At 50.9% G+C, this 21,917-nt stretch overlaps 2 protein-coding genes across 18 annotated transcripts in view, besides 3 other annotated features; one reads left to right on the top strand and one right to left on the bottom strand.

The window, feature by feature from the left end:
* Nucleotides 1-2,801: 2,801 nt before the first annotated feature.
* On the bottom strand, nt 2,802-16,435 carry SWI5 (SWI5 homologous recombination repair protein). 4 transcript variants are annotated; one of them, NM_001379267.1, is made up of 5 exons: nt 16,295-16,435; nt 15,036-15,204; nt 7,160-7,281; nt 5,758-5,852; nt 2,802-3,139 (listed from the first exon to the last, which is right to left on the bottom strand). In NM_001379267.1, the coding sequence occupies exons 1-5, from the start codon at nt 16,381-16,383 to the stop codon at nt 3,075-3,077; spliced, it is 540 nt and encodes a 179-aa protein (NP_001366196.1). In that variant the 5' UTR covers nt 16,384-16,435; the 3' UTR covers nt 2,802-3,074. The 4 variants fall into 4 exon arrangements, with proteins under 4 accessions (NP_001366196.1, NP_001305021.1, NP_001035100.2 ...); NM_001318092.2 differs by having other exon boundaries at nt 15,036-15,084; NM_001040011.2 differs by lacking the exon at nt 16,295-16,435 and adding an exon at nt 15,389-15,515.
* Nucleotides 15,281-15,410: an enhancer, noted in NCBI's record as "active region_29077". NCBI's record gives its function as "activates an Ori minimal core promoter by ATAC-STARR-seq in GM12878 lymphoblastoid cells {active_cell/tissue: GM12878}" and the evidence as "EXISTENCE:reporter gene assay evidence [ECO:0000049][PMID:35858748]".
* The window catches only part of GOLGA2 (golgin A2), a 20,179-nt gene continuing 14,045 nt past the window's right edge, over nt 15,784-21,917 (top strand). For 7 of the 14 annotated variants that reach the window (NM_001389699.2, NM_001389697.2, NM_001389698.2 and 4 more), the window contains exons 1-3: nt 15,784-15,898; nt 17,819-17,941; nt 18,926-19,006. In NM_001389699.2, coding sequence (NP_001376628.2) covers nt 15,815-15,898; nt 17,819-17,941; nt 18,926-19,006 — 288 coding nt within the window. In that variant the 5' untranslated portion in view covers nt 15,784-15,814. The remainder of the gene's footprint in view (nt 15,899-17,818; nt 17,942-18,925; nt 19,007-21,917) is intronic. The other 7 variants (NM_001389705.2, NM_001389704.2, NM_001389702.2 and 4 more) reach the window with 1 other exon arrangement.
* Nucleotides 16,011-16,120: a silencer, noted in NCBI's record as "silent region_20334". NCBI's record gives its function as "represses an Ori minimal core promoter by ATAC-STARR-seq in GM12878 lymphoblastoid cells {active_cell/tissue: GM12878}" and the evidence as "EXISTENCE:reporter gene assay evidence [ECO:0000049][PMID:35858748]".
* Nucleotides 16,271-16,320: an enhancer, noted in NCBI's record as "active region_29076". NCBI's record gives its function as "activates an Ori minimal core promoter by ATAC-STARR-seq in GM12878 lymphoblastoid cells {active_cell/tissue: GM12878}" and the evidence as "EXISTENCE:reporter gene assay evidence [ECO:0000049][PMID:35858748]".

The raw sequence follows: 21,917 nt of genomic DNA, 5'->3' as shown, positions 1-21,917 counted from the left end.
GGGTTTCACCATGTTAGCCAGGATGGTCTCGATCTCCTGACCTCGTGATCCGCCCGCCTCGGCCTCCCAAAGTGCTGGGATTACAGGCGTGAGCCATTGCGCCCGGCCATGGCTGGTTTTTAGAAACCAAGTTTAACCAGGTTGGCCAGGCTGGTCTCAAACTCTTGACCTCACGTAAGCTGCCTGCCTCAGCCGCCCAAAGTGCTGGGACTACAGGTATGAACCACCATGCCTGGCCTAAAATTTATTTATTTATTTTTATTTTTATTATTTATTTATTTTTTTTTGAGATGGAGTCTCGCTCTGTTGACCAGGCTGGAGTGCAATGGCGTGATCTCGGCTCACTGCGACCTCTGCCTCCCAGGTTCAAGAGATTCTCCTGCCTCAGCCTCCTGAGTAGCTGGGATTACAGGTGCGCACCACCATGCGTAGCTAATTTTTTATATTTCGAGTACAGACGAGGTTTCACTATGTTGGTTAGGCTGGTCTCAAACTCCTGACCTCATGATCCTCCTGCCTCAGCCTCCCAAAAGTGCTGGGATTACAGCCCGGCCTATTTTTATTTTTTGAGAAGGAATCTTACTTTGTTGCCCAGGCTGGAGTGCAGTGGCATGATCTTGGCTCACTGCAAGCTCAGCCTCCCAGGTTCAAGTGATTCTCCTACCACAGTCTCCTGAGTAGCTGGGATTACAGGTGCTTGCCACTACACCCAGCTAATTTTTTGTATTTTTAGTAGAGATGGGGTCTCACCATGTTGGCCAAGCTGGTCTCGAACTCCTGACCTCAAATGATCCACCTGCCTCAGCCTCCCAAAGTGCTGGGATTACAGGCGTGAGCCACTGCACCCAGACCCTAATACATAAATTTATTTATTTTTTGAGAGGGAGTCTCACTCTGTCGCCAGGGTGGAGTGCAGTGGCGTGATCTCAACTCACTGCAACCTCTGCCTCCTGGGTTCAAGTGTTTCTCCTGCCTCAGCCTCCAGAGTAGCTGGGACTACAGGCACATGCCACCACGCCCAGTTAAGTTTTGTATTTTTAGTAGAGATGGGATTTCACAATGTTGGCCAGGATGGTCTCGATCTCATGACCTTGTCTCCGACCTCGTTGGCCTCCCAAAGTGCTGGGATTACAGGCGTGAGCCACCGCACTGGCCTGCTTTTTTATTTTTTATTTTATTTTTATTTTTATTTTTGAGATGGAGTCTTGCTCTGTTGCCCAGGCTGGAGTGCAGTGGCGTGATCTAGGTTCACTGCAAGCTCCGCCTCCTGGGTTCATGCCATTCTCCTGCCTCAGCCTCCCGAGTAGCTGGGACTACAGGCGCCCACCACCACGCCTGGCTAATTTTTTTGTATTTTTTTTTAGTAGAGACGGGTTCCACCGTGTTAGCCAGGATGGTCTCGATCTCCTGACCTCATGATCTGCCCGCCTTGGCCTCCTAAAGTGCTGGGATTACAGGCTTGAGCCACCGCGCCCGGCTACCTTTTTATTTTTTTGAGATGGAGTTTCACTCTTGTCGCCCAGGCTGGAGTCCAGTGGTGCGATCTCGGGTCACTTTTTTTTGTATTTTTAGTGGAGATGGGGTTTCTCCATGTTGGTCAGGCTGGTCTCGAACCCCAACCTCAGGTGATCCACCCTCCTCGGCCTTCCAAAGTGCTGGGATTACAGGTGTGAGCCACCGTGCCTGGCAAAATTTATTTTATTTTATTTTATTTATTTTTTTTTTGAGACGGAGTCTCGCTCCGCCGCCCAGGCTGGAGTGTGGTGGTGCAATTTCAGCTCACTGCAACTTCCGCCCCCCGAGTTCAAGCGATTCTCTTGCCTCAGCCTCCCGAGTAGCTGGGACTACAGGCACCCACCACCACGCCTGGCTAATTTTTTGTATTTTTAGTAGAGATGGGGTTTCACAGTGTCAGCCAGGATGGTCTCGATCTCCTGACCTCGTGATCCTCCCGCCTCAGCCTCCCAAAGTGCTGGGATTACAGGCGTGAGCCACCGTGCCCGGCCAAAATTTATTTTTAACAAGAAAAAAAAATTTACCTCTGGGAACACAGAACATAATTTTTAAACAAAAAGGGGGTCTCTTGGCTGGGCACGGTGGCTCATGCCTGTAATCCCAGCACTTTGGGAGGCCGGGGTAGGTGGATCACGAGGTGAAGAGATTGAGACCATCATGGCCAACATGGGCGTGGTGGCACGCTCCTGTAGTCCCAGCTACTCGGGAGGCTGAGGCAGGAGAATTGCTTGAACCTGGGAGGCAGAGGTTGCAGTGAGCTGAGATCGTGCCACTGCACTCCAGCTTGGGTGACAGAGTGAGACTCCATCTCAAAAAAAAAAAAAAGAAAGTGGGGTGGGGGTCGGTGGGGGGGGTCTCTCTTCATTGCCTAGGCTGGTCTTGAACTCCTGGCCTCAAGTGAACTCCTGCCTTAGCCTCCCAAAGTGCTGGGATTACAGGCATGAGCCACCACACCTGGCCCACTCTAAGCTCTTGCCTGCTTCTTCCCAGCCCAGAAAGGCAGTATTGCAAAGCACGAGCTTGAGTCTGACCTGAGCTCAAATCCCTGTTCTGCCACTTACTAGCTGTGTGACCTTGGGCAAGTCACTTTGTCTCCTCTCTGAGCCTCAACGTCTTCATCTGTAAGATGGGGATAATTATGCTAATTCCTCACAGGATGATTTTAAGCATCAGAGACAATGGATATAAAGCACTTAGCACAATGCCTGGCTCATGTAAGCCTGTTCTAATCAAAGGCACGCTCTCTTTATCCCAGGTACTATCGGGGGCTATTGGAGAAGAGGGAATCAGTGTACAGATACGTTTATTGACAAATAAAGTACATGTACCCCTACACAAGTATCACTGCGACATTTCAGGAACCTTGGAGCTGGGAACGCCCCTTCCTCCCTGCCCGCCTCTTCTCTAGCCTCCTCCTGATTGGGCTTGGGCTCTCTAGAAAAGTGCTTCTGGCATTGTCTCGCTGGAAACTCTGTAGGTGTGCTGGTTGGGCTCTCAGTGTTTATCATGTCCACACCCTTCTGTCCCTGGGAGCTGTGGACAAGGGGCGATGAGCCTGCTCAGTCATTCATGTCCAGCCCAAACTCTGGATACAACTCTTTGGTGGTGACACCTCGGATCACAGCTGAAAGGAAGGAAGGCAGGCTGAATGTGCAGTGGGGAGAGGTGGGAGGGAGTACAGCCAATGCCCCGAGCCAGTGTCACTGCCCTGACCCACCCAGGACCACCTCTGGCTTCAAGCCAGTCCCCACACTTGTGCCTTGCCTAACTGGCCAAGGTAAGCTCCCTGCTACTCCTTCCAGGCTGTCCCCCACGGGCCCCACCTGGCCACGCTGGAGCTCTGCCATGTGCCAGCCACTGTATTCAACAATGGACCTACAAGGACTCCTTGGACCCTCACCCCATTTTGCAGAGGAATGAAACAGAGCTTCCTCGATTCCATTCTCCACACAGAGCTGCTGGATTCATCTGCTTCAAATGTAAGCTGATTGTATGCTGTGCCTGCTGAACATTCCAGACTCCTCAGTATGGCCCACTGCTCGAGTTTGCCCCTCTGCAGCCTCCATGATGCTATTCCTCCTCTGTTCTCCACAAAGACTGGTCCTTTCTCCTGAGGAAGGGTTCTCCTCAGAGGCCTCCCCTGAACACCTATCTTACCCCCACCGCCCCTCTGTTCATACCTCAATATTCTCCCCATCTCTGCCCTTTGTCGCCTTCATAGCACCTAACACATTTTGTAATTAACTGCTGAGTCCACTGACTTCCTGGGCATTCCTCCACCCCTAACAGGAAAACAAACCACATGAGAGCAAGAGACTTTAAATTGTCTGGTTCACCCAAGTGTCCTCAGCACTCTGTAGAGTGCTGGGCACAGAGCAGCTGCTCAGTAAATGTTCACTGAATAAACAAAAAGGATGCCAGGTGCGGTGGCTCAGCCTATAATCTCAGCACTTTGGGAGGCCAAGGTGGGTGGATCACTTGGGGTCAGGAGTTCAAGACCAGCCTGGCCAACATGGTGAAACCCTGTCTCTACTAAAAATACAAAAATTAGCCGGGCGTGGTGGTGGATGCCTGCAGTCCCAGCTACTCAGGAGGCTGAGGCACTAGAATCACTTGAACCTGGGAGGTGGAGGTTGCAGGGAGCCGAGATCACGCCACTGCACTCCAACCTGGGTGACACAGTGAGACCCAGTCTAACGAAAAAAAAAAAAAAAAAAAGGGATAGGCCACTGGCTCCAGGTCATATGACCTGGAAGTGACAGGCCTCATGCTGATTCTCGCTACTAAGAGCTTGTGTTCTTTTTCTTTCTTTTTTTTTTTTTTGAGATGGAGTCTGGCTCTGTCGCCCAGGCTGGAGTACAGTGGTGTGATCTCGGCTCACCGTAACCTCCGCTTCCTGGTTTCCTGGGTTCAAGTGATTCTCCTGCCTCAGCCTCCTGAGTAGCTGGGATTACAGGCATGTGCCACCACACCTAGCTAATTTTTGTATTTTCAGTAGAGACAGGGTTTCACTGCGTTGGCCAGGCTGGTCTTGAACTCCTGACCTTGTCATCCACCTGCCTCGGCCTCCCAAAGTGCTGCTGGGATACAAGTGCGAGCCAGCGAGCCCGGCCTTTTTTTTTTTTTTTTTTTTTGAGATGGAGTTTCGCTCCTGTTGCCCAGGCTGGAGTGCAATGGCATGATCTCAGCTCACCACAACCTCTGCCTCCCGGGTTCAAGCGAGTCTCCTGCCTCAGCCACCCAAATAGCTGGGATTACACATGTGCCACCATGCCTGGCTAATTTTATATTTTTAGTAGAGACAGTTTCTCCATGTTGGTCAGGCTGGTCTTGAAATCCCAACCTCAGGTGATCCACTTACCTCGGCCTCCCACGGTGCTGGGATTACAGGTGTGAGCCACTGCGCCCGGCTGAGCTTGTGTTCTTAACCACTAGGCTACACTCCCCTCACACCCCCATCTTCTTGGGCCCTGATCACCCCGCTCTTTTCATCCATCTATAGTTCCCACCTCCAGTTTTTTCCTCTCCTCCTCTGGGGCCCATCGTCCAGTGAAACACAGAGAAGCCCTCCCTGCCGTGGAATCCTGGATGCTGAAGGCATTTCTGCAACAAGTGCCAAAACTCACGCAGCAACTGGGCAGACAGCCCAGCTCTGAACACTACCCCAGCAGTCACTGGCTGCTGAACATCAGAGTACCCAGCACTCCAAGCCAGGGGATGGAACTGAAGGGTTTGTAGGGGCCGCCTGCACATTTCCTCACCTCCAAGGTAGGCTGTCCTAGCCAGCATGACATACAGGTGTTGGTGCCTCGGCTAAAGCCCTCTAGATAGCAAGATTTTGTTCAGGGAGGAAACAAAATACTTCCTTAAGACACAAAGGGTCACCCTTGCACTTGCAGCCTCTTTAGCAAGCTAGCCACTTGAGGCATGGACGGTATCTTGATCACTCTGAGTAGGTCCCAGAAGACTGGGGAGACCCTGAGTTCTCAGTCTGGCAGATGGGCAAGCCCCGCTCAAACCTGGCTGCGGCTCCAAAGCAGGTTCTGTACTTGAGGAACAAACCTAGGTGGCCAGGGAGACCAGAGGCTGGTCAGGAGAGGGGCTGGGGCAGCCTAGGAGCAGGCCAACTGCTGAGGGTGTGACGGTTGGCAAGCTGGGAGGCCCAGGAGCAAAACCCAACACCCCTAGGCGAGACGACACCCTATGATGCCTGCTTGTGGCTCTGGAGTCCCAACTACTCACCTAGTTTGCCCATCAGCATCTGCCCCACATCCTTGATGTCATTGTACTCGTGAAGCTGGGTAATGTGGTCCTCCAGTTCATCCACACTGTAGCCTCTGGGATAAGCGATGGAGAGAGGGGGAAAGACAGCCCAGTTAAGAAAGCAGATGATGGCCCCAGGCTCAGATAGTAATAAGGCATCTGTAATGGCCTACTCGGTGATAGGTACTAGGGATATGGTGACAGCAAGATAGGCCCTGCCCTCATGAAGCTTACAGCAGGGCAGGGGATCTTCCCAGGTCCTCACTCCTGGCAAATGTGCCCTGTCTCCTTAGGGTGGGGTTGCCAGCCACAGTGGTACCATGTGACCCTGGCCACAGCTGAGGGACTCGCAGATGGGCGCATGATCCAAACAGCCAGGTGGATTCCCTCAAGTGTGAAATGCACATTCAAAGGCAGCTCAGTCTCTGCCATGTGGCTGGAACAAGAGGTGTGGGGAACTCCAGGAGGCGTTCAAGAGCCAGCTTTCCCTACACACTGAAAACTCCACCTGCAGGGAGAGAATGGAGTCTGTGCAGAGGGAAGCAGAGGTGGAGAACATGGCTCCGGAGACTGGAAGAGCAACAGCTTCCATCCCAGATAGCTTTCCAGTCCTAGTTCAGGCCCTCCCACAGCCTGAGCATCTCCCTACCTGAGAGGCTGCTGCTATGTCCTGAATCCAGAAGCATAGTCCTTCCTTTCTTTCTTCCTTCCTTCCTTTCCTTCCTTCCTTCCTTTCCCTTCCTTCCTTCCCTTTCCTTCCCCCCTTTCCTTCTTTCCCTTCCTTTCTTTCCTTCCTTCCTTTTTCTTTCCTCTCCTCTCTCTCTCCCTCTCGCCCTCTTTCTCTTTCTTTACCAAGTCTCGCTCTGTAGCCAGGCTGGAGTGCAGTGGCGCGATCTCGCCTCACTGCAACCTCTGCCTGCCAGGTTCAAGCGATTCTCCTGCCTCAGCCTCCTGAGTAGCGCACAGTCGTATTTCTATGCTAGGCCAGTGCGACTGGGTTTTTCAGTTACTGGGCAGTTAGAGAGTTAAACCTTTTTTTTTTTTTTTTTTTTTTTTAAAGACAGATTCTCACTCCATCGCCCAGGCTGGAGTGCAGTGGCGTGATCTCAGCTGACTGCAACCTCCATCTCCCAGGTTTAAGCGATTCTTCTGCCTCAGCCTCCCAAGTAGCTGGGACTACATGCGCGTACCACTGTGCCCAGCTATTTTTTGTATTTTTAGTAGAGACAGGGTTTTGCCATGTTGGCCAGGCTGGTCTCAAACTCCTGACCTCAAGTGATCCACCCACCTCAGCCTCCCAAAGTGCTGGGATTACAGGCGTGAACCACTATGCCTAGCCCAAAGTTATCTTAACCATGATGGGGAACCCAATGAAACTTACTCAGATACGAACTGGGAGATCTCCTTGTCCAGCATGTCCCTCTTCTCCTTCAGTTTCTGAATGTCAAGGTGCAGAGACTCCTCGCTGGTCCCATCAGCCTGGCCAGACTTGGGCAATGGCCTCTGAGAGGCAGAAAAAGTCATCAGCCAGACTGACCAGTTATCCACAATTCACAGCCTACATGTCCCCCAGTAGTCACTCCCTGCTTCTGCTTGCTAATAGGCACCCTAACCCCCTCAATAAGACTGCATTTCCAAGCCTTCCTTGGAATTAGATGTGGCCCTATGACTAAGTTCCAGCAAGTAGAACTTAATCATCTGGGATTTTTTTTTTTTTTTTTTTTGAGACGGAGTCTCGCTCTGTTGCCCAGACTGGAGTGCAGTAACCTGATCTTGGCTCACTGCAACCTCCGCCTCCCAGGTTCAAGTGATTCTCCTGTCTCAGCCTCCCGAGTAGCTGGGACTACAGGCATGCGCCACCATGCCCGGCTAATTTTTTAGTAGAGATGGGGTTTCACCATATTGGCCAGGCTGGTCTCGAACTCCTGACCTCGTGATCTGCCCACCTCGGTCTCCCAAAGTGCTGGGATTACAGGCATGAGCCACTGTGCCTAGCCCCACCCCACAACATTTTTTTTTTTTAATAGGGTCTTGTTCTGTCACCCAGGCTGGATTGCAGTGGCGTGATTATAGGTCACTGCAACCTCGAACTCCTGGGCTTAGGTGATCCATCCTCTAGCCTCAGTCTCCAACAATGTTTGGATTACAGGCATGAGCCACTGTTCCCAGCCAATGACTGGGAATTGTCCTCCCAGGAAGAGGGCATGCCTTTCTCTGGCCGTCTCCCTTCCCGCTGGCTGGAATGTGGATGCAGTGCTGGAGCTGAGCAGCTATCTTGGATGATAAGGTACAAGTCATACACTGAAGATGTGGTGGAACCAGATGGAGGCCTGGGTGCCAATGAACTGTTTAAACCACTGTTATTTGGGGTTTTCTTTCACTCCTAGTCAAACCCAATCCTAACTAATGGGCCTGCCCTTGTCCCCAGTCTGACCCCAGAGAATCTGCTCCAGGTCTGTCTTGGGCTCTCTTCTCATTTACAATGTCACTGGTTGTTGTTGTTGTTGTTGTTTTTGGAGACGGAGTCTCACTCTGTCGCCCAGGCTGGAGCGCAGTGGCATGATTCTGGCTCACTGCAACCTCCGCCTCCCGGGTTCAAGTAATTCTCCTGCCTCAGCTTCCTGAATAGCTGGGATTACAGGTGCACACCACCATGCCCAGCTAATTTTTGTATTTTTGTACTTTTTTTTAAAACAGAGTTTCACTCTTGTTGTCCAGGCTGGAGTGCAATGGCACAATCTCGGCTCACTGCAACCTCTGCCTCCCAGGTTCAAGCAATTCTCCTGCCTCAGCCTCCTGAGTAGCTGGGATTACAGGCGCCCACCACCATGCCTGGCTAATTTTTTTTTTTTGTATTTTTAGTAGAGACAGGGTTTCACCATGTTGGCCAGGCTGGTCTCGAACTCCTGACCTCAGGTGATCCACCCACCTCGGCCTCCCAAAGTGCTGGGATTACAGGCGTGAGCCACTGCTCCCGGCCTAATTTTTGTATTTTTAGTAGAGACAGGGTTTTTGCCATGTTGGCCAGGCTGGTCTCAAACTCCTGACCTCAAGTGATCTGCCCGCCTCAGCCTCCCCAGGTGCTGGGATTACAGGCGTGAGCCACCATGCCCATCTGTCACTGGGTTTATAATCTCATTGGATAAAACCCTTCCTTGGGGCTTTCATCTTTGCCCTTTCTGCCTGTAGAAGCTGTGAAGGCCAGTGCCTAGTACACAGCCAATCTTCAGGAAATGTATGTTGGATGAGCTGTCTACACATGATACAAGAAGGGACCGAGGAAGACGGTCTTCCTGGTTTTAGGTTAGTGGCTTGTAACCAGTCACTCAGAGGAATGAGTGAGCACTCTCTGCCAGGAACTGACAAAGGGTCCAGGAGCGCAGCAATGAATGAGACATCAAGCCCAGCCCACTGCTCTCATAGAAGGCATAGCCTAGCCCCAAAGAGAAAGCGCCCAACGATGAAGTTCTTCCTCCAGATGCTTCCAGTTAAAGCTCTACTTACCTATCGCCCCATCAGAAAGGCCCTCTCTGACAGCCCTGTCTACAACAGTAACATCTCAATCACTCACTATCCCTTTTTCCTGATTTTTAATATTTTTTGAAATTTAATTTTTCTTTTTTTTTTGAGACAGTTCTCGCGTTGTCGCCCAGGCTGGAGTGCTGTGGCACAATCTCAGCTCACTGCAACCTCCGCCTCCCGGATTCAAGCGATTTTCCTGCCTCAGCCTCCTGAGTAGCTGGGATTACAGGCGCATGTCACCACACTCGGCTAATTTTTCCATTTTTAGTAGAGACAAGGTTTCACCATGTTGGTCAGGCTGGTCTCAAGCTCCTGACATCGTGATCCGCCCACCTCAGCCTCCCAAAGTGCTGGGATTACAGGCGTGAGCCACCGCACCCGGCCTTTTTTAAATTTAATTTTTCTTTTAAGATGGGGTCTGTCTCGCTCTGTCATCCATGCTGGAGTGCGGTAGCACAATCACACCTCACTGTAGCCTCAACTTTCTGGGCTTAAGCAATCCTCCCACTCTAGCCTCCTGAGTAGCACAACAGGCATGTGCCATCACACTCAGCGAATTTTTTTGAAAAATTTTATTTTTTTGTAGAGATGGGGTCTTGCTATGTCACCCAGTTTGTTCTCAAACCCTGGGCTGGAGCAATCCTCACACCTTGGCCTCCCAGTGTTAGGACTGCAAACATGAGCCACCGCACCTGGCCTCCTGATGTTTTATAGCATTTTTCGTCACCCGACAAGTTATGCATTTCATTATTTTCATTGCCTTACATTGCTTTACATCACTGAAGTGTAAGCTCCATGAGGGAAGGGACTTTTGTTTACTGCTGATTGCATAGTGTCTACAACAGTACATGGCACATAGTAGACACTCAATATTAATATTTATCAATGAATGAAGTAACCAATAAACGAATTATAAGTCTGGAAAATGCTTTGAAGTTGAAGTACAGTGTGCTATGGGAGAGTCTAACAGGGCAACTGGACTGACCCAGAAGTGGGGATAAGGCTTCTCCGAGGAAGCTAAATTTTAAAGGATGAGCAGGCTTTAGCTTGGCAGAAAGGTGGAAGAAAGTATTGCAGACAGAGGGGACAAAAGAGTTGGCCCTCTGTATCAGTGGGTTTCACAATGAAAATATCTGATGAAAAAAAAGCATGGTTGGCCAGGTGCAGTGACTCACACCTGTAATCCCAGCACTTTGGGAGGCCAAGGCAGGCAGATAACGAGGTCAGTAGTTCGAGACCAGCCTGGCCAACATAGTGAAACCCTGTCTCTACTGAAAATACAAAAATTAGCCAGGCATGGTGGTGCGCACCTGTAGTCCCAGCTACTTGGGAGGCTAAGGCAGGAGAATCCCTTGAACCTGGGAGGTGGAGGTTGTGGTGAGCCAACATCACACCATTGCACGCCAGCCTGGGTGACAGAGCGAGACTCTCTCAAAAAAAAAAAAAAAAAAAAAAAAAAAAAGCATGGTTGAATCTGTATTGAACACGTAGCCTTTTTTTCCTGGTCATTACTCCATGGGGATCCTGGCAGCAATCTCCGTGGATACCCAGGGGTGAATGTGTATCTGAATGCCTTAAGGCAGGAGACAGCACATGTGTTCGGGGGAATGAAAGTGGTTTCCACGTGTGTGAATGGGTGAGTGAGGGGATAGTGGTGTGAAAAAGAACAAATGCGACCGGGCACGGTGGCTCACGCCTGTAATCCCAGCACTTTGGGAGGCGGAGGCGGGAGGATCACGAGGTCAGGAGATCAAGACCATCCTGGGTAACATGGTGAAACCCCGTCTCTACTAAAAATACAAAAAATTAGCTGGGCGTGGTGGCGGGCGCCTGTAGTCCCAGCTAGTCGGGAGGCTGAGGTAGGCGAATCGCTTGAACCCTGGAGGCAGCGGTTGCAGTGAGCCGAGATTGCACCACTGTACTCCAGCACTCCAGCCTGGGTGGCAGAGCGAGACTCTTGTTTTTTTTTTTTTTTTTTTTAAAAAGAACAGATGCAACCATGAGTAGTGCTATTAGAAAGGAGAAGAGGCAGAGCACACTTCAAGAGCTTGGGGTTCCTCTGATGATGCAAGGGCAGTTGGAGGAGTTGGTTTTGTGGTCCTGGTTAGGAGGCTGAGTGTGATTTCAGACTTGGCAAGTGGGAAGGCAAAGATTCTGCAGGCAGCTCTGGGTGTCCCAAGAAAGGTCAGGGCTGGAGAGAGATAGGAGGGTTGTGGGCACTGGGGTGGGCTGAGGGAGTGGGAGTCAGAACTTGGAGCAGGTGTGTAGAAAGAGAATGGCAAGAGGAGAGCAGAGCCACCCGGAAATGTGTGGGCAAAGGATTACCCAGGTGCTGAGGCAAGAGACTGAAGGCACAAACTGTTTCAGTATAATAAAGAAAATAGAATAAGAATAGTCACAACACAAATTAGATATAGAGATGATCATGGACAATTATCAATCATTAGTATAAACACTATTAATCATTAGCTTTTAATATTACTCCTTGTTGCACTACTAATATAACCTAAGAATAACCGGCAAGTATAGGGTCAGGTGCTGAAGGAACATTGTGAGAAGTGACCTAGAAGGCAAGAGGTGAGCCCTCTGTCACACCTGCATAAGGGCCGCTTGAGGGCTCCTTGGTCAAGCGGTAATGCCAGTGTCTGGGAAGGCACCCGTTACCTAGCAGACCGTGAAAGGGAGTCTCCTTTCCTTGGAGGAGTCAGGAAACACTCTGCTCCACCAGCTTCCTGTGGGAGGCTGGATATTATCCAGGCCGGCCCGCAGTCATCCGGAGGCCTAAACCCCTCCCTGTGGGGCTGTGCTTCAATGGTCACGCTCCTTGTCCACTTTTATGTTCCTTCCATACTCCTGGTTTCTCTTTGAAGTTCATAGTAGATAGTGGTAGAAGAAACAGTGAAAGTCTTAAAGTCTTTGATCTTTCTGATAAGTGCATAGAAGAAAATGCTGACGTATGCTGCCTTCCCTCTCTGCTTTGGCTACCTAGAAGGGAAGGGCCCACTGGCCCACGATCATGTGACTTGCTTGATCTTATCAATCACTTGGACGACTCACCTTCCTTACCCTGCCCCCCTTGTTTTGTATGCAGTAAATATCAGCGTGCCCAGCCATTCTGGGCCACTACCGGTCTCCACGTCTTGGTGGTAGTGGTCCCCTGGGCCCAGCGGTTTTCTCTTTATCTCTTTGTCTTGTGTCTTTATTTCTTACAATCTCTTGTCTCCGCACATGGGGAGAACGCCCACCAAGCCCCGTAGGGCTGGATCCTACAGAAATGCCCACATTTACCTCAGGAGTGGCAGGAAGCAAAGGAGCCAGCCGAGCGGGCACAGAAAAAGAGGCAGGAGAGGTCAGGAGGGTGCTCCTGCAAATAGGCCCAGAGAGGAGCAAGCCCAAGGTACCGCTTAAGAGTTCAGTTCAAGCCCAGGCACGGTGGCTCATGCCTGTAATCCCAGCACTTTGGGAGGCTGAGGCGGGTGGATCACTGAGGTCAGGAGTTTGAGACCAGCCTGGCCAACATGGCAAAACCGTCTCTACTAAAAATATAAAAATTAGCCGGGCATGGTGGCGGGCACCTGTAATCCCAGCTACTAGGGAGGCTGAGGCTGGAGAATCACTTGAACCTGGGAGGCAGAGGTTGCAGTGAGCCAAGATCGTGTCATTGCATTCCAGCCTGGGCGACAGAGCAAGATTCCGTCTCAAATAAAAAAAAACAAAAAAAACCAAAAACAACTCAGTTTCTCAGTTTAAAGCCCCCAGCTCTGCCACGTCCTGGCTATATTCATCTCTCTGGAACTCACAGGCCTCACCTCAACATGGGGACAGTAAAGCGTCTTCTCAAAGGTTGCTGGAAGGAACTGGAAAGATGATGCATGTAAAGTAAGCTGATGGGACAATGCTCAATAGAGCCTCCTTTTTTTTTTTTTTGAGATGGAGTTTCGCTCTGTTGCCCAGGCTGGAGTGCAGGGTGATCTCGGCTCACTGCAACCTCCACCCCCTGGGTTCAAGCGATTCTCCTGCCTCAGTCTCCCAAGTAGCTGGGATTACAGGCATGTACCACTATGCTCAGCTAATTTTTGTATTTTTAGTAGAGATGGGGCTTCACCATGTTGGGCAGACTGGTCAAACTCCTGACCTCAGGTGATCCACTCACCTTAGCCTCCCAAAGTGCTGGGATTATAGGCGTGAGTCACTGTGCCGGGTCGAGCGTTGTTTTTAAAAATGGAAGGAATGGAAGCTGGGCATGGTGGCTCATGCCTGTAATCCCAGCACTTTGGGAGGCCGAGGCGGGCAGGTTGCTTTGAGCTCACGAGTTTGAGACCAGCCTGGGCAACATGGCGAAAATTTGTCTCTACTGAAAATACAAAAAAATTAGCCAGGCGTCATGGCACACAACTGTGGTTCCAGCTATTTGGGACGCTGAGGCAAGAGGATGGGTTGGGCCTGGGAGGCAGAGGTTACAGTGAGCCCAGATCGCACCATTGCACTCCAGCCCGGGCGACAGAGTGCGACTGTGTCTCAAAAAAAAAAAAAAAAAAAAAAGAGAAGGAATGAATTAGCATGAATGAGAAAGGCATGATCTGCAGTGAGTTACCGCATGGTCAAAGACAGTGGATACCAACCCACTTGCAGAGAGAAGCTCAATCAGCCCAGTGCTTTTGGCAAACTATGGCTGCCACCCCGTCATCGTCATCTGAGCTCACTGTGAGTTGCCCTTCAGGCCCTGCCTCTGACCCTGCCATCTCTGGAGAGCCCTCTTTGCAAGCCCAAGCCTGGGCTCCCCATCTCAGAACCATGTGCATACTTGTCCTGGAATTATTTTTTTGCCTGTGGCTCCTGGAGGGCAGGGGGCTATCTGGCATACACCTGCATTGCAGCAGTTGCTAAATCAATGAACAAATACCAAGTCTTTCCCGATCTAACTTCTTTTTTGTTTTTGAGACTTGTCTAGCTCTGTTGTCCAGGCTGGAGTGCAGTGGTGCAATCTCGGCTTACTGCAACCTCCACCTTCCGGGTTCAAGCAATTCTCCTGCCTCAGCCTCCTGAGTAGTTGGGATTACAGGCCTGCACCACCACGCTCGGCTGATTTTTTTGTATTTTTAGTAGAGACAGGGTTTCATCATGTTGGGCAGGCTGGTCTTGAACTCCTGACCTCAAATGATCTGCCCGCCTCAGCCTCCCAAAGTGCTGGGATTACAGGTGTGAGCCACTGCACCCGGCCCTCACGATCTACCTTAAGAGTGGTGGTAGTTGTAGTGGCAACTCCATCTGGGGGATGAGAGAAGGAGTAGGCTGCGTTTTGGGGGTGGCTTGCCAGCGAAGAGGAGAGACTATTAGCAACGAAAGGAGTGGCCAGGGTGAACGCCAAGCATTTTCCTGACTGGGGAGCTATGGGTTTGTTTAAAGGCAGGGCTGGGTGAGGGGTGAAAAGAGCGAGGAGGAGAGATGGCTGGTGCTGGACTGGAGTGAAAGGCATCTGAGGAGCCAGGAGACAGGATGGGGAGGGAGAGGAGTTAGCCTAGGACAGGACAGGATAACACTTCTTTGAAGACTGGCGGGCATGAGGAAAGGAAGGGGAGGGATTCGGGAATGACCTGGCGGTTCTCAGTCGACTGGGAGAAGATATGGAAGAGGGCCAAGCGGGGATTGGCTGCTGTTGGGATGGGGAGTGGGGCCGGGAGCGCACAAGGGAAGGTCGAGGATGGGAAAGGGGGTGTGGGGGAAGAAATACTCACAGGGGATCGGAAGGCCCCGCGGCAACTTCGGGTAAGTCTTGGTTCAGTCCTAGAGAGGAATCCGAGGGGAAAGTCTGATTGGACCCACAGCCCGCTGTGAGGACGGGGTACTGTGGGGATGCGGGAGGAGGAGCAGTTGGGAAGTAGGAGCGCCAGGGACTGGATCCATCTGGAAAGGGGGCAGACACGCTCTCAGGATCAGGGTAGAGACCCTCTAGGAAGGGGGCGTTCTGAGACGGGGGTTGTCTGGAGCACTGGATGGGAGTCTTTGGAGGTGATTTCTGGGAAGGGAGAGTCTGGGGCAGGGCTGTGAGGAGTCAGGAAAGAAACTGTGGAGTCCGTTCCTCGCCCACCTCCTGAGCCCTGGGGTCCGAGGCCCCCGGATCAGGGGGTTCAATGGCGCAAGAGGGTCCAGCGCGGGAGTCGGAGAGCGACCTCTCAGGTGCACCGGGCCAGGAACTCTGACCCGGAGTGTGAACTGGCGCACAGAAAGCTGCGCGCGCACCCAAGGAAAGCCGGCCCCGCCCCTCTCCCGAGGTGGGCGGGGACAGCGGTTGCGTGCGCAGCTTTTGTTGTGACGCCACAGGTCCCTCTGGCCACGCCGCTGCATAGCCACGCCCCCTTCCGCTTCATATTTCTCATTGACCAATGGGCTTTGATCTTTGAGGCCACGCCCCCATTCTGCGCTCCAGTATCGCCCTGGTTACGCCTCCTCTGGCTCCGTCGCACAGCTGCGCGGTGGCTGACTGACTTCCGCAGTGGTTGCCGGGATCGCGCTGATGTGGCCCCAACCCCGCCTCCCTCCCCGCCCCGCGATGTCGGAAGAAACCCGACAGAGCAAATTGGCCGCAGCGAAGAAAAAGGTAAAGTGCACCGGGTCGCGGCCCCCCGACCCAGCCCCAGCCCCACTCCGATGGCAGGACCATGGCCAGAGTCTCTGCCACTCCTGAGGCACACCGGGCTGGGCTCCCCACGGCGCGTCCGGGCTCCCTCCACCAAAGTCTTGTCAGCCAGCCCCGCCCCCTCAGCCGCCCAGCCCCCGCCCTCGCCAGTCGCCCCCGGGTGACTTTGGGCTGGTGCTCCCGGGGCTCCCCGCTCCAGACTCGGCCCTCACCTCCTGCCCCCCGAAGTCCGACCTCCCTGGGCTCTTTGGGCTGGCGTCTCCAAGGACCTAGGACCCCAGCAATTCAGCCCCTGCCCTCGCCAGTGACTTTGGGCCCGTGACTCCCGGGGCCCCCCGCTCCAGACTCGACCCTCACCTCCTGCCGCCCCAAACCGGACCTCCCGGGGTTCTTTGGTCTCGGGTCTCCAAGGACCTGGGTCCTGGCCCTGCGGTCCCCTCCCCCATCGCGGAGCGGCGACTTGGACGTCGCGCTGATGTTCCCCCTAGGAGTGGAATGTAGTGACGTCACAATCCCCCTCGGAACCGTAATTAGTTGCGCGAGACCAGTCTTTGATCTTAGGACCCAGTCCCCTAAGTGTTCTCATCCCGCTTCTGGTTCCTCTGGTCACAGCATAAATTTCCAGCTGGAAGGGGATTGGGGACTATGGGACCTAGGAGGGAGAGGTTTCAGGCTGCCTTACACCCTTAACATAGACATTGACAGTGTGAAAAGCCTACACTTCACCCGTGAACTGAAAACATTGGCAGTATCTCTGGGTGGCAATGTGAGAACGGGATTGGTTTGGTTTTCCCCCAGGCTTCTACTCTCCAGAGAGACTTTAACATTTTTTTCTGACTTCTCCACCTCATATTCGAATTCTCCATGGTTCTGGGACCAGAGTGCCCTTCAGTGGTCTCTGGAATGAGATCTGCTTATCTTCTGTGGAACAGGTCTTGGGAAACTGAACTTGACAGCTTGAATCTTCCTCATATCATCTCAACCTGGGGTACTTGGAGTGCCACAGGATAAATACGGGGCATCTTTCTGAAGCATCAGTCTCCCTTTATTCTCTTGAGAGAGAAAAAACATTAATGTACTTAGGGATGACAGTCACATAAATTTCTAAGAGTATACCAGACTTTTCTCTGAAATGAGGCTTGGGTTGTCCTCTTTCTGTTAAATTCCCAGGTTCAACAGAAAGGCTGCCTTCTGCCATGTGGATACATTGATGTAAAAGTTTGAGAGGCATTGGTGCATTTCTTAACATTACCAAACGTGTGAGGATGTATGACTCTAAACCACACAGTGTACAGTTCCTGCCGACTTAATGTTCCGGCCCACATTTTAAGATACATATTTATTTTTAGAGAGGGGGTGTCACTGTGTTGCCCAGTCTGACCTTGAACTCCTGGCCTTAAGTAATCCTCCTGCCTTAGCCTCCCAGGTAGCTGGGACTCCAGGCTTGACTTCTCCACCTCATATTTGAATTCTCCTTGGTGGAGTGGAATGTAGTGATGTCGCAGTCCCCCTCGGAACCGTAATTAGTGCGTGAAACCAGCTTTTGATCTTAGGACCCAATCCCTAAGTGTTCTCATCCCGTTTCTGGGATGAGAGGTGGAAAAGTACCTCTGCCTCTGGTTTTGGCCCCTGGCAGCTGCTGATTTGTGGCAAAACCCCAGAGCTTGGAGTCAGAAGACTGAGTTTAAGTTCAATTCTTGCCTTTTTTAAGCCATGGTATCAATCCCTCTCAGTCACTAAGTGATTGTGACAAGAACTTGTGGAGTTGTTAGTGGCATTAAATCAGATGGTATATAAGAGTATTTTGGAAAAATTGTAAAGTAGGATGTAACTGTGGGGGCTTGTAGATCTCATGAATATTATTGCTCTTCTTTTCCACAGTTGAGAGAATATCAGCAGAGGAATAGCCCTGGTGTTCCTACAGGAGCGAAAAAGAAGAAGAAAATAAAAAATGGCAGTAACCCTGAGACAACCACTTCTGGTGGTTGCCACTCACCTGAGGATGTGAGTCTTGGATGGCCAGGCTCCTGGGGACAGGGGGCCCAAGGGGCAGTAGAGGGTAATTGTTATGATTGTGGAAGAACTGTTGGGTACTGATTAAGAGTTCTGGGTTTGTATCCTACCTGTCCATCTGCTAGGGATGTGATTTAGGGCAAATTGCTTGAGCTTTTTGGGCCTCTCTTTTCACAACTATAAAGTATTGTTTTACTTACACTTGTGAAGTTTAAATGAGATTTGTTATTGTTGTTTTTATGTTAATCCCTAGTACAGGGCCTGCTGTCCTAAACACCCAGGACACCCAGGAAATGGTAGTTGCTGTTTCATTTTCCTCATCTCCAGTCTCAAAGGGAAGCCAGGCCAATGAGAACAGCTACTTGCCATCAGGCTATCCCTTTAGGAGTCACTGAAAGGGCCCCAGGGTGTGGTGAGGAGAGTCCCAGGTGCTAGGATTAGGGGAAGATCTAACTTTTGAGTTCATCTTTGCCACCAGCTTGCTGCGTGACCACAGAAAAACCACTTCTTCCCCTGGGCCTCAGTTTCCTCCTCTGTGAGGTGACATTGGATATGATCAGTGTCTTTCAAACTTGTTTTTTAGCTGGAGCCCCCTTTGTTCAAGTGAACCCTTACTCAGAAGTCTGGTTTTTAAAATGGAGGTGGAGGTTTGTAGTTCTACTAGATTCATTGCCCACATCCTGGGCCTAAGGAGAAGGGTCCAAACAGGATATTAAGAGCTGCATTGGTCAGGTGACTCCACTCTGTGTGACTGCATCGTTCAGGGGACTTTTCCATCTATTTGTTTCTGCCCCTGGCAAGGCAGCAGGTGGCCATTTGGAAGGATGGCACAGGCCATGGTATTGATCTCCTCCACTCTTCTTATTTCATTTCCCTGAACCCACATCTTCCTCCTTCCCTGACTTTCTTGCCTCTCTCTAAGCCACTTCTACCTTTCTCCCCCTGCCCTTGTTTTTCCCTTTTCGCCTCCTGTAGATTCAGGACATTCTGAAGGTGCTGGTGTCCGACCTTAACCGTTCCAATGGGGTAGCGCTCCCCCCATTGGACAAGTGGAAGGTGAGGCAGTGCCGAGACCCCTCTCTGGCTTGCTCTCTCCAGCTGTGCATGCCCCTGAGGCTTCTCTGGTTTGGGGGATACTTTGCCTCTGGCTTATTTTATGTTGCTGCCATTAACCTTCCGCCTGTTTATGTCCGCTTCTTCACCTGCTTGATTGATTGGGTTTTTATTCTTCCCCCAAATCTTTTATCATCTTGGAGAAGGTGAGACATATCTTAAAGTTTAAAAGTTTAAAGGTAATTTGGGAATAACTTTTAGAGCAGGTGTGTGGGATTTGGGGCTTTTTTTTTTCTTCTTTTTTTTTCAGAGACGGAGTCTCACTGCCCAGGCTGGAGTGCAGTGGCACAATCTTGGCTCACTGCAACCTCTGCCTCCTGGGTTCAAGTGTTTCTCCTGCCTCAGCCTCCTGAGTAGCTGGGATTACAGGTGCCTGCCACCATGTCTGGCTCATTTTTGTATTTTTAGTAGAGATGGGGTTTCACCATGTTGGCCAGGCTGGTCTTGAACTCCTGACCTCAAGTGGTCCACCCACCTTGGCCTCCCAAAGTGCTGGGATTACAGGCGTGAGCCACTGCTCCCAGTCTGGGATTCTGGGATTTGGGCTTTTGAATGCCCAGTGTGGGTACTCTCAGACTAGGAGAGATGAAAAAAAAAAAACACAAAAAAACCAACAGACCTTTAGGTTTTACCCTAAAGGCAAAGATCAGTAAACCACCTAGAAGTTAGTGTTTTTTTTTTTTTTTTAAATTAATTCACTTTGGTTTAAGAGTAGGGAACAAAGGGTTAAAAGAAAATGAGTTCACATTATAGTTGGAAGGATTGAAGCTATTTTTTCAGAGGAACTAACTGTAAAAGTTGTGAGGTTAACCAAACAGATGAGTGACCAAGACGTTCTGCCCCTAATCTCTCCAAATGGACATTTAGCCATATTCATTGGGCTCTTGACAACAAAGGCACTTTGATAAATAAACAGTGGATAAAATAGATGAACAAGGTAGGCTGCACACCGAGGGAGGCAGACTCCTCTGAAGGAGGCAAGAGAGAATTTTGGAACATTCCAAATGCTCAGCTCGGGGGGAGGTTGGTTCCAAATGGACTCCAGGCTGGAGAAGGTGGCATTTGAAGCTGGCTTGAAGATTAAAGGTGGGTAACATTAATCCATATGGGGAGTGGGGGAGGCAGGGGGAGCGGTGAGGCCGTGGCCAGAGTGTGAACTCACAGAGCACCTTTCAGGAACACAGGGAGCCTGGTGGGGGGCAGGGCATGGAGGTACACAGGGCTGGGAGACAACCTCCTCTGGCTGTGATTTGGCATTTCTTCCATCTCTAACTCACCTGGGGGACTCCTTCCTGCCAAGCCAGAGGAGCAGGGCACGAATAGAGCCTGATCCTGTTGGAGATGGGTATGGGGAGAGGGACTGAGACAGAGCAGCCTTGGCTGCTGTTAGAGAGTTGTCCAGTCTCATACCTGTTACCCTCCAGTTGATCAGGTCTGTCCAGGTGCTGTGACTCACCTTGCCAGCTCAGAGGAGACGCTGAGTGGTACGGCTGGGGAGCACAGGCTTAGAGGTGACCTGCAGCCAAAAGCATTTGGCTTTTGCTCTGCCAATGGTCCAGTGGATTAGGGGGTCTTCAGCCTGTTTCCTAATGCTCTGAGATTCTGTGCCAGCCCAGGTCCCTCTATTCTGGAAACAAAGGCCTAGATCCCCGTATTTCCTTCTTGCTGTTTTGTTTTTGTTTTTGAGAAAGAGTCTTGCTCTTTCTCCTGGAGTGCAGTGGTGTGATCTTGGCTCACTGCAACCTCCCCCTCCCGGGTTCAAGTGATTTTCATGCCTCAGCCTCCCAAGTAGCTGGGATTACAGATGTTGCACCATCACGCCCGGCCATTTTTTTTGTATTTTTAATAGAGATGGGGTCTTGCCATGTTGCTCAGGCTGGTTTCGAACTCCTGGCCTCAAGTGATTCACCTGCCTTGGCCTCCCAAAGTGCTGAGATTACATGTGTGAGCCACCATGCCCAGCCCCTTGCTGTTTTTATACCTTCTCTATATCCGTAACTGTTTCCAATGTAGGTTTTGTTTTTTTTTAATTTCTCATTTTTATTACCATGTAAGTTTTCTACTCCAGGAATGCAGGCCTGTGATCGTAGTATCCTGAGCGGAGCTGATAACATTTCCAGAAGTAGGGAATAATGGAGAGAGAAAAAATATCTTAATGGGATGGGACATTTTGAGGAGAGTAGGCTTTTTTAAAAACTCCATCTTGGCTACAAGACTTAAAATAATGAAATAACTTGGTTGCTCACAAAATAATCATGCTATGTGTGTCAGAAAGTCCTCAGAAAAATGCTTTTTCAGCCAAGTGCAGTAGCTCATGCCTGTAATCCCAGCACTTTGGGAGACTGAGGAGGGTGGATCACCTGAGGTCAGGAGTTCGAGAGCAGCCTGGCCAACATGGTGAAACCCCATCTCTACTAAAAATACAAAAATTAGCTGGGCGTGGTAGCGTGCACCTATAATCCCAGCTGCTTGGGAGGCTGAAGCAGGAGAATCTCGAACTCAGGAGGCGGAGGTTGCAGTGAGTGGAGATCTCGCCACTACACTCCAGCCTGGGCGACAGAGTGAGACTCCCATCTCAAAAAAAAAAAAAAAAAAAAATTCCCTTCCTCTGAGCATTCTTGTGTCTAATCCTAGAGATCAGTGGGAACCGAAGATGCCAGGAGGGCCCTAAAGCCTAGCAGGGTCCATTGCTAGGAGTGCCAGCCTTCCCTCAAGGCTAATGCCTGGCCAGCAACTGAACCCTTGCTCTGACCTATTAGATTCAGTTGTAGGCATTGTCAAGGAAACACCAGGTTCCATGGTCACAGTAAACTTGCAAAGATGCAAAGGCAGCTTGGCTCATCTTCAGTTCCAC

The sequence above is a fragment of the Homo sapiens genome, chromosome 9 (assembly GCF_000001405.40).
Source record: "Homo sapiens chromosome 9, GRCh38.p14 Primary Assembly".
Lineage (NCBI taxonomy): Eukaryota > Metazoa > Chordata > Mammalia > Primates > Hominidae > Homo > Homo sapiens.
This window is presented reverse-complemented; position numbering and strand designations above follow the sequence as displayed.

Coding starts and splice junctions, on each gene's coding strand:
- SWI5 (NM_001379267.1), bottom strand. CDS start 16,383: ATGGGGGAGGGGACCGCAGGGCCAGGACCCAGGTCCTTGGAGACCCGA. Junction 7,282..15,035: donor GCGGGGCCTTCCGATCCCCT/GTGAGTATTTCT, acceptor TCTGCCTCTCAG/AGGCCATTGCCCAAGTCTGG. Junction 5,853..7,159: donor ATCTCCCAGTTCGTATCTGA/GTAAGTTTCATT, acceptor CGCTTATCCCAG/AGGCTACAGTGTGGATGAAC.